Consider the following 19,280-nt stretch of genomic DNA (forward strand, 5'->3'; position numbering starts at 1 on the left):
ACCCCGTCATGTTCAGCATTTTTATATTGCTTTTGATGAGGACATGGTATACTTATCAAATTTTTCAGTTTTGTAGAATCAGGAGAACTAGAGAATGCATTAGATAACAGAATAGAATTCAGGATTATTATCTCTAACTGGAGTGGTTCACCAAAGAAGAAATGTAATAGGGATAAAAATATAACCCTTTCGTGAAGTCCGGGAACAACTGTCCAAGAACACTGTCTTAGCTGTTGGGTGTGTAGGGAGGGAAAATGATTAGAGATTTTAGTCAGCTCACTTTAAGGACTGCAGTGAACTGTAACTGGTTAGAATAAAATAAAATATGGAAGCTTTTCAAGACCACCTCATCTCAGGAAAATTTGAAGAAATTCATGAAGTCTTGGAGCAAGAAATCCTGATGGTGATAGAGCAGGAGAGAGAGCAGTGTCTTCAAATATTTCTGAACATTTTCACATAGAAGATAAATTAGATTTGTTCTGTGTGACCTTTGTAGTCAGAACTAAGAATACTAAGTAGAAATTTCAGGGAGCCAGAGTTTGGCTCACTATGAGAAAATAGCTCCTTCCAAATTAAACCCATTCAAAATTGTAATGAGTTGCATTGGGAATTAATGCTTCTGCTATCGCTGGACATGTTTTAAACTGAGGCTGAACTATCATTTATTAGAACTCACTCTATATGACCACAAGCACAAAATTTTTGCCTGTGAACATGTCTGAATAAAGCATTTCTATATTATTTTTCAAAAATGTAACTTAGCAGCTTTCTTCTGTGCTGTGTTTGCAACCTGATTTAGTAGTGTTAGCTATATGGTGGTATATATTACAAAACTTCTGTTTTGAACTAAACTGTACAAATTCAAATTTTTTACTTGGAATGTGAGACGATGTTTAGCACACCAAGTTAGGCTTTGAGTATTTATTTGAAAAGGATGTGTACTTTACTTGTGTGTAATTATTGCCAAAGATTATACTGAATTTGTATCGTATTTCTGCCAATATTTCTTCTAAAGCCATATCCCATGATTAATTTTCAGTTAGTTTACTTAACACCCATAGTGTTTTCTGTAAAGCAAATGTTTTCAAGAAGTGCCTTGAAAAGCTCACTTATCTTTTAGCATATTCGATTCTAATATACACAGTGAAGTTGTTTCAGGAGGGACATAATCTATTGACTTTCTGAGACCATTATAATTAGTTCTTAAACTTAATTCTGTGATCTGTCTCGTTATGTTTTTGTCCTGTTGTTTTGTGTGTGTATATGTATACGTATGTGTGTGTATATATACACACATGTGTACATACACATATATGTGTGTATATATGTATACACATATGTATATGTATATATGTATACACATATGTATATGTATATATGTATACACATATGTATATGTGTATACACATGTATATATGTATATGTGTACACACATGTATATATGTATATATGTATACACATGTATATATGTATACACATGTATATATGTATATATGTATACACATGTGTGTGTATATTTGTATACACATATGTGTGTATGTGTATATGTATGTACACATATATACACGTATATATACACATATATATATTCAAAGCTTTGATTTCTCAATATTAATAGAATGTTAACTGGATATATGTTTTAAAGCCTCTAGTTTACTTTTCTGAAGGTATTAAAAATATCTCTTTATTGTTTACTATCACTAAGTCTTTCTGACATTTATGAACAGAGTTGAAGCAAAAATAGAAAACCTTTTTATTGTCAGTTTTAATCTTTTAAAGCTTACCTAATAATCAGTAGGCCTACTACTTATTGAAAAGAAATACCTTTTTTTTTTTAGGTGTTATCCCTTTTCATGGATTTTCAATGTATGGTAAGTTGGGCTTTAAAAACATCATAATGTACACAAAACATACAATGTTATCTGTCAATTTAAAAAATAATGACTGACAGATATAATTGTTTTACTATAGTAAAACAATAAAGGAAAAAATAAAGTGAAATGCATGCTAGTTCCCCATAGGGGCTTCATTTTTTTTAATTATTATTTTTATTACACATTAGAAAATTGAACAAAAAGAACACCACTTTATTTCTAATCACCCACAAGTTATTATGAACGTTTTAAAATGTTGAGTTTAATAGTCCAGGCGTGGTGGCTCACGCTTGTAATCTCAGCATTTTGGGAGGCTGCTGGCCATCAGAGAAATGCAAATCAAAACCACAATGAGATACCATCTCACACCAGTTAGAATGGCAATCATTAAAAAGTCAGGAAACAATAGGTGCTGGAGAGGATGTGGAGAAATAGGAACACTTTTACACTGTTGGTGGGACTGTAAACTAGTTCAACCATTGTGGAAGTCAGTGTGGCGATTCCTCAGGGATCTAGAACTAGAAATACCATTTGACCCAGCCATCCCATTACTGGGTATATACCCAAAGGACTATAAATCATGCTGCTATAAAGACACATGCACATGTATGTTTATTGTGGCATTATTCACAATAGCAAAGACTTGGAACCAACCCATGTCTAACAATGATAGACTGGATTAAGAAAATGTGGCACATATACACCATGGAATACTATGCAGCCATAAAAAATGATGAGTTCATGTCCTTTGTAGGGACATGGATGAAATTGGAAATCATCATTCTCAGTAAACTATCGCAAGAACAAAAAACCAAACACCGCATATTCTCATTCATAGGTGGGAATTGAACAATGAGATCACATGGACACAGGAAGGGGAACATCACACTCTGGGGACTGTTGTGGGGTTGGGGGAGGGGGGAGGGATAGCATTGGGAGATATACCTAATGCTAGATGACAAGTTAGTGGGTGCAGCGCACCAGCATGGCACATGTATACGTATGTAACTAACCTGCACAATGTGCACATGTACCCTAAAACTTAAAGTATAATAAAAAAATAGAACATACTGTGAAAATGGTCCTGTGGTTTACCATTTTTTAGTCCAATGGAAACTAGAGATACATATTAATATTTAGCTCTAATAGGTGTAAAATCAGATGGCTTAAATTCCTAAGGTAATTCTCTTAAGAGTTTTTTGAAAATAATAGGTCAGAAAGAATGCTAAGGAAGGAACAGTACTGAGTTTGAGCTCATGATTTCTCCAGGCTACTTATATGCACAGCCACAATTACATCAGAGCATTCAGTCACCTGAGATACACGTGGGTGATGCATATGCAGGCTTGAGAGCTCTGAGTGTCTCTGAGGCCTCATGTGTCATTAAATGAGGAATGCAAGAAGCTTATGAAGATTAGCAAAAGGAAGAACTCTCTACACTTTAATGCCACTTAATTTTTAAGTTTTCAAGTGTTACATATAAACTTATTAAAGATTGTTGTCCCCTTTATTTCTATCCCCTACCTTTAGAATGAACAGAAATACATTAATGTTTTGCCTTTGTACCAAGAATCTGCAATAAACACTTTTCTTTGTAAACATCAGTGTTCAACATCAGATGGTCGTGGTGAATGACATAATATAAAACTATCGTTCAATGAAAACGAGTCAAAGTACCTAGGGACTTTATGCTATACTTGGTGTTAGTCACAGGCTTGAATTATAGGGTACTCAGCTTTATTCTCTTGGGCAACCAAAATTTCATAACATAATACATAATGTTATAGAGACCTTACAGCGTATTTATCTTATATATGTGAAGAATTTAAAATAGAAAACCAAAAAAGATTAATAATATAAATTTTTACATCTAATAATAAAAATGTTCACTTTTTATCTTTCTACTTTAATAGTTCCAACTGCAAAAATTTTTCAAGTAAATCGTTTTTGGAAGTTGTACTTGAATGATTTGGAGGATACTTGATGTCATCAAAGTTTAAATCTTCTAGCAAGATCTTCTGGTGTTTAAAATATATCATTGACTCAGCCTCTGCCTATTCACATTTATGGTCATTTAAATAGGCTACAGTTTATACACCCAAGGGGAAAGCATTTGCTAACAATGATGCAAAATGTTTGATATGGAATTTATTTATACTATTTTAGAAAACTATTTTAAACATCCACAAAAACTTTACCAGCAACCACTTATTTAGAACCAGTGTACAAAAATAATCACAAATCATCCCTAAGGAACTCTAGTTAGTACTTTGCCATTTCAGTTTTAGTTACTATATTTCTTTAAAATTATAATACTTATCTCTTTTAAACATTGATACAGATCTTTAATGATAGGCTGTCATTAAAAAGGAAACCAAAAGATAGTAATTTATTTTAAAATTTACTCAGAACTCTTCTCTAATTTAAAATACCTTCTGCTCTTCTATTTATGCAGATTAATGAAGTTTTATTGTAGGTGTATAGTATATTATGGTGTCATAAATTCCTACAGTATAGTCTTTCATTGGTTTAAAAGATAATTAGCTAAATTTATTTTTATGGAAGAACCAAATAGGAAAGGATGCTTAAAATTAAAAATTAAGTCATGTAGAATCTTTTTTACATATAATCTATAATGGACTAAAGCTTTTCCATTTCATAGCTATATAAAGGAATTCAACATAAACAACTGTGGTATCTTGAATAAAAACTAATTGTAAATTTCTTTTATATTTTATGTATTCGTAGAAACATGCTTATTTTAAAATTCTCTTTTCATTTCTTCACTGGAAATTTTCATTAATAATTACTGAATCCATACCATCTTCAGATTCAGGTTATAAGTTTTCACATATCAATATCTAAGAATTGGAGGAAAAAATATGCATCATTTTTTAAAAATAAAGAAGTTCCAAACCTTAGTCTTAGATTTATAATAATACCATATATTTGTACCACACTGTTGTTTCTTAGGTTGTTATTGTAATTAGAGCATGAGTTACTATTTGTAAATATATGAAATATCCTAATTTGGGCTGTTTTTATAAGTAGCAATTTATTTAATAGTAAAATAAGTTTTAAAAATTAGTCTTGAAATAGACATACCTGTCTTTTTTAAATTTTATTTATAATACATATTGTAATACATTTTTCTATATATATACAAGTATGTATTTTTATATGAATTTAGATATTTACCCCCAAAAGTGATTTCTCTTTTGCCCTTCAGAAAAAATAAAAATTCTCACTTGCAATGCTAATTTTTAATGACTTATTTATCAGTAATACTGTGCATTGCTGTTTATCCCAGAAAATTGAACTTTTGTGTTTGAAAGAATTTAAAATATTTTACTATTTTTCCTTTTACTTTGTCAAAAAGAAGAGAGCACAACTGGCCCACTGACTTCCTTGCTTACTTAGTGCTTATTGCCCTCAGAGCATTACCAACAGATTATAGAGCCCCAGAAATTCTTACTTGTCCAATACATATTGTTTGAAATTACCCTGTAAGGCATTTTTTATTAAAATTAATATTTAGGTAATGCAGTTGTATCTATCTGCATTATAAATTTGTCTCTATGCTGCCTAAAATACTTAAGGCTTGAAAAGATGGAAAGCATGACCACCTTTGTCAGTGTAGAATAATCACATGCTCAGGTAGGTCGCCAATCCAAGATTAGGACTTTCTGACATTCAACTGTGGAATGTCTGGTTGAGTTGACCCAGCTGTGCTTAATTGCTACAAACTGGGGGCAGTCAATTCTACATTCATTAGAGAAATAAATCCTTTCTGCCTAAGGATTGTTTTCAGTTGATGAATATATATGGGGATATAGCGATAAAGACCAGTAGTATACAGCTATTACTCAAAATCTTTATTTTCAAATTGAATTAATTGAAGACCATGATTCTAAAAGTCATAAATCATCTGTTTTACTTACCTGACTTCCAAAATTAAAAATTTTGAAATGTGGCCTGAATCTTTTGTGAGAGAAAGTAAAAATAAGCTGCCTGGTTGTTATTTTCTTATTACTTCAATTAAAAAAAGGAGAGATTTGACTTATGTAGTTTTTATAAGTTACTTGGAACTTTTCATATTTCTGTATAATTCCATAATATCATTCTTAGGCATCTGTTAAATTGGGATTATAATAGTTTGTAATATATTCCTTTCTGTATAATATTTAATGGCTGTTTGAACTTTACATATGCATATATTCCCCTCTCAAAATGAAAAAAAGTAGTATGATTTTAAACTTGTCTGGTGGTGTATATGATTACTATAAAATAGTGATTTATTATGACATATTTTATAAATTTATCTTAACATTTCAGTAGTTCTGCAGTATTATAAATTAATTTTTTTCTTTCAGTTGCACCACTTTGTTTTCTATACCATGAACCTTCCAAATTGTATCAGATATTCCGTGAGATGTATGTGCGTTTTTTCTTCAGACTCCATTCCATCTCTTCTCATCCTTCTGTAAGTTCATAAGAAAAACTTGATCAAATTAGGTTGGATTGTAATCTATTCTTTCTTTCTGTTAAGAAAAAGTCTTCTACTCAAATTCTAACGCAACAAATTTTAATTTGTGATGTCAAGCAATGTGTTTTTATTGCAAAAATGACAGAGAAGATGAAATTGATATTTAAATATTTTGGTAATAATTTAAACAGAAAAAGTCTCTTGTCAACTACATTTAAATGATTTTTTTCTTTTACATATTAAAAAAATTAGAATGTCTGTATTATTATTCTTAGCAAAGATGCCTACCTTCTTTTCTCATTTCTTATCTATGAAATGAAGTAAATAATATATTATCTCTAGTGCTGTAGAAAAGTCTACAAAGCACTCAGTGTAGTTAGTGCTTGGCTCCTCGCAGGTGTTCAGTAAATAAATGGCCGTTGTTGTTATAATTATAATCATCATTCTTCTTTGTTAGTGAAAATCAAGTATTGATTTGTCACTTGTTTGCCAATTTCATATTTGGCTAATTATCAGTTATAATAGTACATATTTTCTTTGTATTCAATAAAATGATCCTTTGGCCTACAATATAAGAATCAAGGAAAAGCATATATTTAGGAGTTGAACATTTTAATCTGTTCTCTTTTGGCTGTTCCTTTATCATATCTTTTTTTTCCCTTCCCATAAACCTGACTAAGAGCAGTATTTATTTTATTTCAGTTATGCTTTTTTTCCCCCTTTGGACCTGCTGTGGGTAACATGACTGCTACTCCAGGTGAAACATTCAATTGGAATATATGTCAGGGCTACTAAATTTCCCCAAAGAGGCAACTGTATTATTGCTATGAAATTAAATAGCTGTTCTTTATCCCCCCATTCTAAGCCTATATATTCCTATTTCACCTTCCTCCATCTCCAGTTTTGCTTTCATACATCGCTAGTGAAAGTTGGCAAATCACAGAATTCCAGGATGTTACAGATAAACAAATGAAGCAACACCAGTTATCCTGGGTTTCTTATCTCTAAGAGAACTTGATTTTGTTCTTATCTTACTTTAATATTTAATCTGGAATAATCAGAAATATGACCAATAATTAAGATTAATAATTCTTTTCTGGCCGGGCGTGGTGGCTCACGCCTGTAATCCCAGCACTTTGGGAGGCCGAGGCGGGTGGATCATGAGGTCAGGAGATCGAGACCATCCTGGCTAACAAGGTGAAACCCCGTCTCTACTAAAAATACAAAAAATTAGCCTGGCGCGGTGGCGGGCGCCTGTAGTCCCAGCTACTCGGGAGGCTGAGGCAGGAGAATGGCGTGAACCCGGGAAGCGGAGCTTGCAGTGAGCCGAGATTGCGCCACTACAGTCCGCAGTCCGGCCTGGGCGACAGAGCGAGACTCTGTCTCAAAAAAAAAAAAAAAAAAAAAAAAGATTAATAATTCTTTTCTGATATTCAGTTCTAAGTATCATATTTCTATGCTCATATTCTATGCCATTTTATGCTTCAGAGTTTAAAAAAACTGGCTGCATAGCACACACCCATGGTGTTCTCCCTGTGCAGAGCACTGAAGCCTGGCACTGGGCAACTCTGGGTATTTCTTGTCTATCTCTATGCTGGTGGCCCTGGGTATTCTTTTTCAGCGAATTGATTGAGCCAGGCCTGCCTCTGTCCTTTTTTTTTTTTTTATTCAGAGGAGTAAAAACTTACGGGCAGTCACCACCTTTTTTGGCTTGCAGCTAGACTGAACTATTTGGAACCATGACAGTCTTTTTTTCTTTAGAAACACAAAAAGAGGATTAAAACTTCCTTACAAAGATAAACTCTGAGGAATGCTAAGCTGCAGGAAAGACTTTATTCAGAGTTGTCAAATAATAAATGTACTTGAAAAACTATCTGCTTAAATTGGTTTTGTACTTTACAAATAATGCCCTTTTAAAAACAGTAGATTTTAGTTTTAAAAAATATGTGTATACTAAGTAATCAAACATTCTTGTTCAATAACTTCTGAAGCAAATTTAAAGCAGCTAGCTGCTAGTCTTTTCCTGGGGGTAGATTTCAAAGAAAGAGTGAGAAAAGCAGGCAGTATTTTCCCTAGTGAGTGAGGCTGGAGGGGAAGGGACATATGGAGGGAGAGTGAAGGTGGCTATATAGCACTAGGGAAATAACTGGAAACTGGAATGCATTCAGATAAAAACTAATTTTGCTGGGGCTAAGTAATCATAGTGGCTTGCAAAGTAGCAAGTTTTCTGTAAGGTGATATTTTCCTTGGACTCTCCAAATATTATATACTGGTTTATGTGGGGAGCATATTGTGTAAAAAGGGAGGCTCTTTAGCACATCTGTATGTGTGAGTATATATAAAGAGGATAAAGTTTATCTCTAAACACAATGTTAGAGATTCTTTAATACATTTCATGTTTTTGACTCTTAAACAGTATAAAGAAAATTTATGTTGATAGTTTCTCATTTTCCATTTGAATAATTTGTTGGCATAGTTAATTTTTAAATATTAAAATATCTATTTCTCTTATGATTCATTATTGTATCCAGGGTATTGTGTCACTCTGTCTGCTGTTTGAAACTCTTCTTCAAACTTATCTTCCCCAACTCTTTTATCATCTACGAGAAATTGGGGCTCAACCGTGAGTACTTTTCTCTCCTAATTGAAGAATAGATAGTTTCACAGAAAGCTCTTTTTTCCTCATTGCAGAGCACTTGCAAATACGTAATTTTTCAGAGACATTAAGCTAACAGTTTTCCTAATAAAACTATAATTATCAATTAGTAAATTGTAATAACATTGTTCCAAAAATTCTTGAAAGAATTACCAAAATCCTAATAAAGTCTTATTTACTAGGATTTTTGTGTCTGGTACAAGAATCACCAAAATGAACCAATTTCTATTCATAACGAAAGGTGTCAGCCAAAACTGAAGCAAACATTTGTGGAAACAAATACTACCTGAGAAACATGATCATACTAAACTTAATTCAATATAGGCCACATTTATCAGAGAATAACCTATGAAAACTATAAAAGTTAAAGTTGGCTGTCTTTTCTTAAAGGAAAGCAAATCAGGTACCTATCAATGGTTGTACACTGTGATTTCTCCTTTCTAAAATTTGAGTTTTGTTCATTGGTCTCAGCATGAGTTATAAGTGAATATGTATAGTATCTCTGGACTTCAAGATTATTGGTTCTATCTCTCTCTTTTAAAAAAAAATGTCTAAAGCAAGAGAACTTTCCAAATGGTTTATCAGTGTTTTCTTCCTGTCTTCTCTGTGCAGCTATTTTCTCCTGTTAAGGAGGGCATATTTGAAAAAAGTATTAACTCCTTGAGGCCACAAAAGAAGTTAGTGGGAGATAGAATAGTATAGCATTTGTCTTCTCCACTCTTGAATCCATAGCAAATAGATAGCTCAGTGGGTGGAAATTTAATCCAGATTCAAATTCCATTTCTGTTAAGCTTTGTAATCCTGGTGAAGTTTTTTAATTTATCAAAGCCTCAATTTCTTTACGTTAAGATAATTCAGTTTGTTTATCTTAAAAATCAAGAGAATTAGTACCTTGCAGAGTTGTTTCAAGATTGACTGATTATAAAGATGGAGATAACAATCAAGATGGAGATAGAGATAGGTAGATATATAATCTCCTTTTTATAAAGTACCATTGAATTTCAGACATCTTAGAGATGGCCTTTATAAAATAATACCTCATATCATCCATTGATAATACTGAGTGGATACCCTTTCCTTTATAGCCATTAAAAAACAAAATTCTATTCATGATTCAGAAATATTTTATATTGAGCATAAGACTTTTATTCTTGTAGTAAATTGACTTCTTTTTGCTATTGTGAAATGAACATTGGAGTATAAGTAGGGTTTTCTTTACTAGGATGAAGACATTTAGTTCATTACTAGAAACAAATATTTTTTCTAGCCTGTTTGTATACTTTACTCATTAAAAGAAATAAATTTATTTCAATGACATGATAAACATTAAAATTCCTATATAGGAAAAGTGTAAAAATTCTAATTGTCAAGGTAGAAATCATTTTTTTAAAAACTGAAGCTTTTGGAAGGTTTTTTAATTTTGAATTTAATTTCTTTAATAGATATAGGACTACTTGGGTTATCTATTTCTTTTTGAATAAGCTTCAGTAGTTTATGTCTTTTACTAGGTTATCATATTTATAAACAGAAAGTTATTCATAATATTCTCTATGCTTAGCCTTTTTAATATTTATAGGGTTAGTAGTGACATCATCTTTGTCATTCCTGAGATTAGTAATTGTATTATCTCCCATTTTTTCTTGATTATTCTGGCTGCAGGTTTATCAATTTTATTCATCTTTGAAAGAATCAGTTTTTTGTACCATTGATTCTTTTTCTCTGTTGTTTTTCTACTTTAATTTTATTTATTTTTACTCTTATATTTATTATTTTCTTCTTTTTGCTTGCATTAGATTTATTTTGCTCTTGTCTTTCTGCTTGTTTAAGGTAGAAGTTAGATCATTGATTTGGGACTTTCTTTTTTTCTAATATAAGCATTAATGTTACAGATTTCCCTCAAATTACTTATTTACCTCCACCTAACAAATTTTGATATGTTATATTTTCATTTTTATTTAATTAGAAATGTTTCATAATTTATCCTGTGGTTTCCTCTTTGAATATGGGTTATGTAAAAGTACGTTGTTTAATTTCTAAATATTTGGAAAGCTATCTTTCTGGCATTTATTTCTGTTTTAATTCTGTTGCAGTTAAACAGCATGCTTCACATGATTTCAGTTGTTTTAAATGTGTTGAAGTTTGTTTTTTGATCCAGAACATGATCTGTCTTGGTCCATGTGCACCTGAAAAAAATTTGTATTCTGCAAGTATCGGGCAGAATGTCATATAAATGTCAAGGAATCAAGTTTGTTAATAATGATGTTCAAACCTTGTATACACTTACTAATTTTCTGTCTACTTTTTCTATTAATTATTGAAAGAGAAATGTGATCAGCTCTAATTATAATTGTGGATTTTGTCTATGTCTTCCTTTAGTGCTTTGTCTTTTTCTTCACGTATTTGGATGCTTTGTTTTTAGGAGAATTGATCACTTTATTATTATATAATGTCCTGTTTTATTCCTAGTAATAAATCTACTATGTCTGATATTAATATAGCCATTCCAGCTTTCTTTTGATTATAATTGCATGATACATTCTTTTCTATTCTTTTACTTAACATATTGATTATCAATATCTTTTTTTAAGTGGATTTCTTATCGAAAGTTGGGTCTTCCTATGTGGCAGTCTGTTTCTTAATCGGTGTGTTTATACCATTTATAGTTAATAAAATTGATATTATTGAATTGGAATCAACTATATTACTAAATTTTTTTAGTTATTCCATGTTCTCTTTATTCCTTTTTTCTCATTCTCTGCCTACTTTTGAATTGAACATTTTTTATTCCATTTTATCTCCACTATTAGATTTTTATACTTTTAAAGTATGTTTTTGATAGGTGCCATGAGGTTTACAATATACTTCTTTTTTTTTTTTTTTTTTTTTTTTTTTTGAGATGGAGTCTCACTCTGTCACCCAGGCTGGAGTGCAGTGATGCGATCTTGGCTCACTGCAACCTCACCTCCCTGGTTCAGGCAATTCCCCTGCCTCAGCCTCCCAAGTAGCTGGGATTACAGGTGCACGCCACCATGCGCAGCTAATTTTTTTTTTGTATTTTTAGTAGAGACGGGGTTTCACCATGTTGGCCAGACTGGTCTCGGACTCCTGACCTCAGGCAATCTGCCTGCCTTGGCCTCCCAAAGTCCTGGGATTACAGGTGTGAGCCACCGCACCCAGCCAATATACTTCTTTAATTAATCACATTCTACCTTCAAATAAACTTCAGGCCTAGATGGCTTCACTGGCAAATTCTACCAAGCACTCCAGGAAGAAGTGATATCAATCCTTATTTTTCTGTGGCTACTGTCAAGATTTTTGTTTTCAGTTCTCACCACTTTGATTATGATATATCTAGGCATAGATTTCTTTGGATTTATCCTCTTGGGTGTTTGCTAAGCTTGAATTTATAAGTTTATGTCTTTTGCCAAATTTGGCAGTTTTGACCCATTATTACTTTAAATATTTTTTTCTGCACCATACTCATTCTTCTTTTCTTCTGGCAATCCAGTGGCACAAATGTTCAAACTTTTGATATAAAAGAAAAAAAGAAGATGAAGAAAAATAAGGTTTGTTATTTTCTCACAGGTCCTTGCAGGTCTATTTTTTTTTTTTTTTTTTCCATAGAGATAGGTTCTTGCTTTGTTGCTCAGGCTGGTCTCAAACTCCTGGCTTCAAGTATTCCTTCCTGTCTCAGCCTCCGAAAGCACTGGGATTACAGCCATCACCACACACAGCCCTTCACTTTTTCTTAATCCTTTTTCTGTATTGTGTAGATTGGACATTTTCTACTGATCTATAGTCAAATTCTCTGGCTCTTTCCTCCATCATTCTCATTTTACTATTGGATCCCATCTAGTGAGATGTTTTTGTGTGGTTTTTCGGTTATTGTATTTTTCAGTTCTATAATTTCCATCTGGTTCTTCATACAAAACATATTGAACTGTACACTAATAAGGGTAATTTCTGCTATACTGTAGTTTCCCCTTATCTGTGGGAGATATATTCCAAGACCCCCAGTGGGTGCCTGAAACTGTGGATAGTACTGAGCCCTGTATATACACCATGATGTTTTTCCCTATATATGAATAACTATGATAAAGTTCAATTTATAATTAGGCACAGCAAGAGATTTACAATAACTAATAATAAAATAGAACAATTATAACAATATGCAAGCATCACTACTCTTACTCTTTGGGGCCATTATTAAGTTAAAAAAAAAAGGGTCACTTGAACACAGGCGCTGTGATACCAGGACAGTCAACCTGATAACCAATGTGGCTTCTAAGTGACTAACATGTGGGTAGCACGTACAGCATAGATACACCTGACAAAGGGATGATTCATATCTGGAGTGGGACCGTGCGAGCTTTCACCAGGCTACTCAAAACAGCACACAATTTAAAAGTTATGGATTATTTCTGGAATTTTTCATTTAATATTTTTGGACTGTTGGTGACCACAGTTGGCTATGGGTAACTGAAACCACAGAAAGTGAAACCGTAGGAGGATGACTATACATAAATTATAGCACAATAAGCTTTATTTCTAAAAAGCTATGCTATGTTATTTCTATATTGGTGGGTGGGGATGTGTGGCACTATTCCTCAAATATGACACTATGAGAATTTGAGTAAAATGAAGCAAGCTGAAGTTAATAATTTTGACTTTAAATTCAAATGTATTTTGTAAGTTATTAAAATATCCAGTGGCCCAAAGTTTCTTTTGTATATATAAAGAGATATTCTAAAACCACCCAAAAAGCTTAGTCAATACTAGTGCCTACATGTACTTTGTTATATTAGAACAATAGTTATGCAGTATTGAGGAATTTCTGAAACTTGAGGATCTTTTTCAGTCTTAAGATAATTAATACAATGACACCAACCAAGGCAACCTCTGGGTCCTTTTCTGTCTTTTAAGAGAATAGCACAGATGTTTATTGACAAAATATGATAATTCCAGCAAACAGTTTAGCTAGTACCTGTCAGGGACAGTCAAGTGATATTAGATGCTAATAGATAATACAGAAATATGAAGAACTGGTTGATCCCTTAAGGCACCAGAGCCAAAGAGTTCATTTCCTGATTTCAGAGATAAATTGTTATTGTAACATAACCTACTTGTAAGTAGTAAGATCTCATACATCTTAGAATTGTTTTAGCAAAATGGAATTTAATTGAATTTTCTGGCTGATCTTTCAGAGTTCTATAACCTCCTAACTAAAATGAAGTGTTTGAAATCAGAAATCTATTTCTAATGTCTCATAGCTTTAAAACTATTTTTGTCCTTATACTCATACTTGTTATTTTATTTTATTCATCCTATATAGCCATTTGACTGAAATGTAGAAAATAATTTATTAAATTGAGAAAATATGCAGGCATTGAACAATCTTTCAAGTATTTTGAATAAAAATTCAAATTATTATAGATTGCCTGGAATTGTTAAGACTGTCAGAAGGTCAGCTCATTGATAGCTAAGTAGTATACACTCTGAAAAACAGAATGTAGAAATGGGTTTTATAAAAGCTGACCTCTAGAGTAAAGGAGGACCCAGCATGTGTAATTCTTCCTCTTAATACTTTAAGACCACTAATTTGAGGACTTATGGTTTCTCACCACTGCACTCTTGCAGCTTTCAAGAAAGTACTTAAGTTTTAAATGCCCAGGTGATTTCTAAGACTCTTGAATAGAATTGGTTGGGTTCTTCTGATATTGCATTTTCATGAGAAAAAATTTCAGTGGTACATTAATTTTTATTTTTCCTTGCTTATAGACTTCGCATATCATTTAAGTGGATGGTTCGAGCTTTCTCTGGATACTTAGCTACAGATCAGCTCTTGCTTTTATGGGATAGAATCCTAGGATACAACTCTCTGGAAATTCTTGCTGGTAAGAGTAAATGCTTGTTTGTAGAACACATGCTGTTTCTATAATAAGTCCCCTTTTCTTCCTAACATTCACCATCCGTAACTGGAATTTATTTGTCACTTCTAATTCATGAACAATTAATAGATATATCTGGCTTTGACGATAAGTACGAACAAAAACTGCAGTCTTGATACTTTTATGTAACTGCACAATACCAGCCTACTTCTAGTCTTTCTTCCCAGCTCCCAGGAAAGTTCATTTTCCCTTCCCTTTCCCTCTCCCCTTTTAGTCCAGCTAGGTCTCACTATCTCCCAACACCTATGAGGTCTGTGCAGCAGAGTGTAGATATACTTCCCTTCTACTCTGGACTCCCCTGGCTACCTTAGCAGTCTGTTCTATGCCCCATCTCAACACCTAAGATCCAAACTGAGGCTAAGCCTCCCTACATGGCTGAAACCTCAGCTCTTCTGTGTCTATTTATAAATGAAGTTAAAACCTTTTCCTTTTTGCTAACAGTCTCTGACTTCCTCCCTGGTGGCTGAGTTTCCCCTTTTATTCTCTCAGGCCAAAAACTATTTCATCTTTTTTTCAAAGCCACAAATTTATCTTTTATTTAATAATTAAGCAGTTCTTACAACAGATGTATGCCCAAGGCAATTATATGATTACAAAGAAGGCATATATTTCTTATTAATTATATTATTTTGCTTCTCTTGTGCACAATAGACTCAATTACTTTATTAGTGAGATTACCAGGAAATTCAAATAATAATTACAAAGTTTTCACAATAGATAGGGATCAGAAAAGTTGGCAGAATGTTTCCATACCTTAAATTGATAGCATTATAAAATCACCTCTCTGGGCTGCTGTGGAAATAAAGCTTAGTTGAAGAAGAATATGATAGGAAGATTCTCTAGGTATCATATTAACATATTCGGGTTGTTTTTTTTTTTTTTTTTTGAGACACTCTTACTCTGTGGCCCAACCTGGGGTACAGTGGCATGATCTTGGCTCACTACAACCTCCACCTCCTGGGTTAAAGAGAGTCTCCTTCCTCAGCCTCCCGAATAGCTGAGATTACAGGCGCCTGCCACCACACTCAGGTAATTTTTGTATTTTTAGTAGAGACGGGGTTTTACCATGTTGGCCAGGTTGGTCTGAAACTCCTGACCTCAAGTGATCCACCCGCCTCGGCCTCCCAGAGTGCTGGGATTACAGGTGTGAGCCTCCAGGCCCAGCCTTAACATATTCTTGAATGCTGAGAAGTCTATAGTTATAGTTACTGGGTAGCATATGTCCCTGGGTGGCAATTACCCTGGTATAATCAGAGATACCACTGATTAATGTTTTTAGCAACTTCTAGTGTTCTGTCTCAATTTTTTTAAAAACCTATACAAATATGATTTAGGAAATAATGGTCTGCCCTCATTTCTTTTGGCTGAATGGCAGTAACATATATAATCTAGCAAGAGAAGGAATCCTCAAGGGTGTTGAGTATAACTTTTTCTAAACATTGTTCACAAGCCTTTCTTATCCTCTGCTGGGACACTTCAGTATTGGGCAATCCCTGCCTTACCTCGTGGCCCATTTCATTTCTGGATAATATGGCTCATTACATGTACCCCTATTAAACCAAAGTAATTATCATGTTTTCTCTACTCTCACATTTTCGCCTCTCCCCAAAGTCTTCTATTTTCCAAGCTAAGTAGCCTTGTTTTCTACTGTCATTTCTCAAGTGAGAGAATTGTAGACTTTTAACCAAATGTCTGTCCTCTGAGTGTGCCAGAAAATTTGAAGATTACTGTGTATAGCTTTCTGTATCATTTTAAAGAGACATTAAAGCATGTTTAAAAGGAGGGCTCAGTCTAAGAAAATATTTTCTAATAATTAGGACTTTCAAAAAGTAGAATGGGTTCTTTAACTGTTATGTGAAGGGTCAAGAGGTTTCATACCTTGAAAGAAATGTTGAATTAGAAAACCTCCAAGCCCTCTTTCAATTTAAATTCTCTCATTCTGTGCCTTATCATCCCTTAGCAAACTGAAGGAAAAGAGAAATAAATGTATGTTGAATACTGTATTTGCTGTAAGCCAGGCACTCTTCTATGAGCTCAATAATTAATAAAAACGTTACTGAAGAATAGGTAGAAATGTAGTCTGCATTATTGCTTCCACCCATTTTCCCTGAGTGCTTTAAAAAAATCTACAGGGAAGAATTCTGGAACATCTAGAAATGGAACTAGACTGAAGGAAGCTCCCCTACCATGGAATTCAGATAAAGAATCACAGGGTAGATAATTTCATGTAAATGTATACAAATTAGTTTTGATTATTTCGTATACTTTTGGTATGAGTATTTTGGAATCACCTTTTTCTGATCAAGTGGGTTACTATGTAGTCTTGAGAAATATTTTCATAAATGTCACTGGCTTTAATTGTGAATTAATTAGAGCCTTTTGAAGAACAGTTTAAAGCAAAGTTATCTTAATGTTCTCGATAGAATTGCTTAGAATTAAAGTAATAAGACCAAAAGAAAATATTAGAGCCTCTATATTTCATATGAAGCATAATTTCAGTTGAAAATATCCCAAAGTGTAGACCTTTCCTCCCTGGCAAACAAACCTGTTCTGTGGAAGGGCTGGGCAAACCAAACATGAGGCAGATGGAAAGGAACTTCTGTGATGTGACACCAAGATAAATAAAGGTTATGAGCACATAAGCATTTTGGATGCTGAGGTCAATTAGTGAACTGCTCTTTTTTTCCCCTTCTTATCTACCTTTGGAGAAACAGTTTCCCACTGTGTAAAACTCTTTCCTGCTGGAGCAGAAAATTTGGCCAGACTGTCAAGCTTTCAGCAACTATGTTCAATTATATACAAAAAAGGAAGTAGTAATCATACTCTTTAACTGCTAAAATGCCTGCACTATATAAAATATGATTCCAGATATTAGGAAGTGGTAAAAAATTGTTGGTCTACAGAAATAGTTTTCTTTGATATTCTTGTAAACATGAAACTCAGTGACTTTAAAGTATTCATGTTTTCTTCATTTCAGTTAAGGAGTAAATCCTTTGTTGCAGATCTCTTGTATCTACTGTTACATATTCACTAACTCCAGCTGACTTGACTTTTAAAATTTTACCATTCTCATCTTTTTCTCCAGAATTTTTCTCTCTGACGAGTTCTAATGCTTTTTTGCCCGACTGTCCAAAATCTCTAGTCCCCTAGAAAAGTGCCTGTGCTTCCCAGTTACTGGTTGCACTTGGCCTTTATCTGGGGAAATTAAGAGACCTGGCTGCTGACTTCTGTTCCTTAGGCACAATGACCAGGACCACTGTAGCAGCATCCTTCATGCCATCTCTGGAAAGCCATTCTGATAGACAGCAGAGCCAATGATTTTTAGGAAAGCACACAGATTTTCATGTCAGAGATGAGTAGTTGCTGCTTACTTTCAGTCTCAATAGTATCTTCACATAGTGGTTAGATGCACAACTCCAGAGCCAAGGTTGAGTATTGGCTTTACTATTTTCTACCTGGGTGCCTCTGAACGTGTCACCCCACTTACTATGCCTCACTCTCTATATTAGTAAAATGGGCTATTAATAGTATTTAACTCACAGAATTGGTATGAGAATGACTTATTCTCTTTGTAAAAATGTATTTTAAAAAATATATGTGTTTGCATTAGGTATGCAGTATACCTAGGAACCAGTCTTCCAAATAATTTGGAATATTTCTTTCTTTTTTTTTTTTTTTTTTTGAGACGAGGTCTTGCTGTGTTACCCAGGCTAGAGCACAGTGGCACAATCATAGCTCACTGCAGCCTTGAACTCCTGGGCTCAAGCAATCCTCTGCGTCAGCCTCCTGAGTAGCTGGGACTACAGGAATGCACCACAGTGGCTGGCTTATTTTTTAAATTTTTTGTAGAGACCAGGGTCTTGCTTTGCTTTCCAGTCTGTTCTTCAACTCCTGGGCTCACACAATCCTCCTGTCTCAGCCTCCCAAAGCACTGAGATTGCAGGCATGAGTCACTGTGCCCAGTATTTTGAATATTTCTTACCATTAATTTCCTAAACTTCAATGACTTGTTGGGTAGAGAATCCACTACCATCACTGGTGATGGAGAGAAAAGGAGATAAGTCAAGAGTTAGCTCCAAGCAGTACCATCTCCTTATCAGGGTCACCTGCCTTTCAAATGGGTCCTTCTGTTGTTTATGACTCACTCCCTCACATGGAGTTTTATGGTAGGTTATATAAGTTTTGCATGTTAGCATTACTCTTTTTCCATGTGCGTATGTTTAATGGAAAAAATAATCCAAATGCTGTTTTTAATTTTTTTTAAGAGACGGGTTTTTGCCATGTTGCCCAGGCTGTCAAACTCCTGAGCTCAAGAC

The 19,280-nt window shown here is 33.6% G+C and overlaps 1 protein-coding gene across 13 annotated transcripts in view; it reads left to right on the top strand.

Annotated features, from left to right (window-relative positions):
• Window positions 1-19,280, top strand: part of TBC1D19 (TBC1 domain family member 19) — a 282,243-nt gene that overhangs the window by 156,940 nt on the left and 106,023 nt on the right. For 10 of the 13 annotated variants that reach the window (XR_007057937.1, XR_001741277.2, XR_007057936.1 and 7 more), the window contains 4 exons: window positions 1,839-1,871; window positions 6,248-6,357; window positions 8,892-8,983; window positions 14,795-14,910. Coding sequence is in view for 6 of the 13 variants with exons in the window: in XM_047415904.1 (XP_047271860.1) it covers window positions 1,839-1,871; window positions 6,248-6,357; window positions 8,892-8,983; window positions 14,795-14,910 (351 nt within the window). In the remaining 7 variants the exon portion in view is untranslated. Of the gene's footprint in view, window positions 1-1,838; window positions 1,872-6,247; window positions 6,358-7,062; window positions 7,118-8,891; window positions 8,984-14,794; window positions 14,911-19,280 lie in introns of those variants that run through there. The other 3 variants (XR_007057938.1, XR_007057939.1, XR_007057940.1) reach the window with 3 other exon arrangements.

The sequence above is a fragment of the Homo sapiens genome, chromosome 4 (assembly GCF_000001405.40).
Source record: "Homo sapiens chromosome 4, GRCh38.p14 Primary Assembly".
Taxonomy (NCBI): Eukaryota; Metazoa; Chordata; class Mammalia; order Primates; family Hominidae; genus Homo; species Homo sapiens.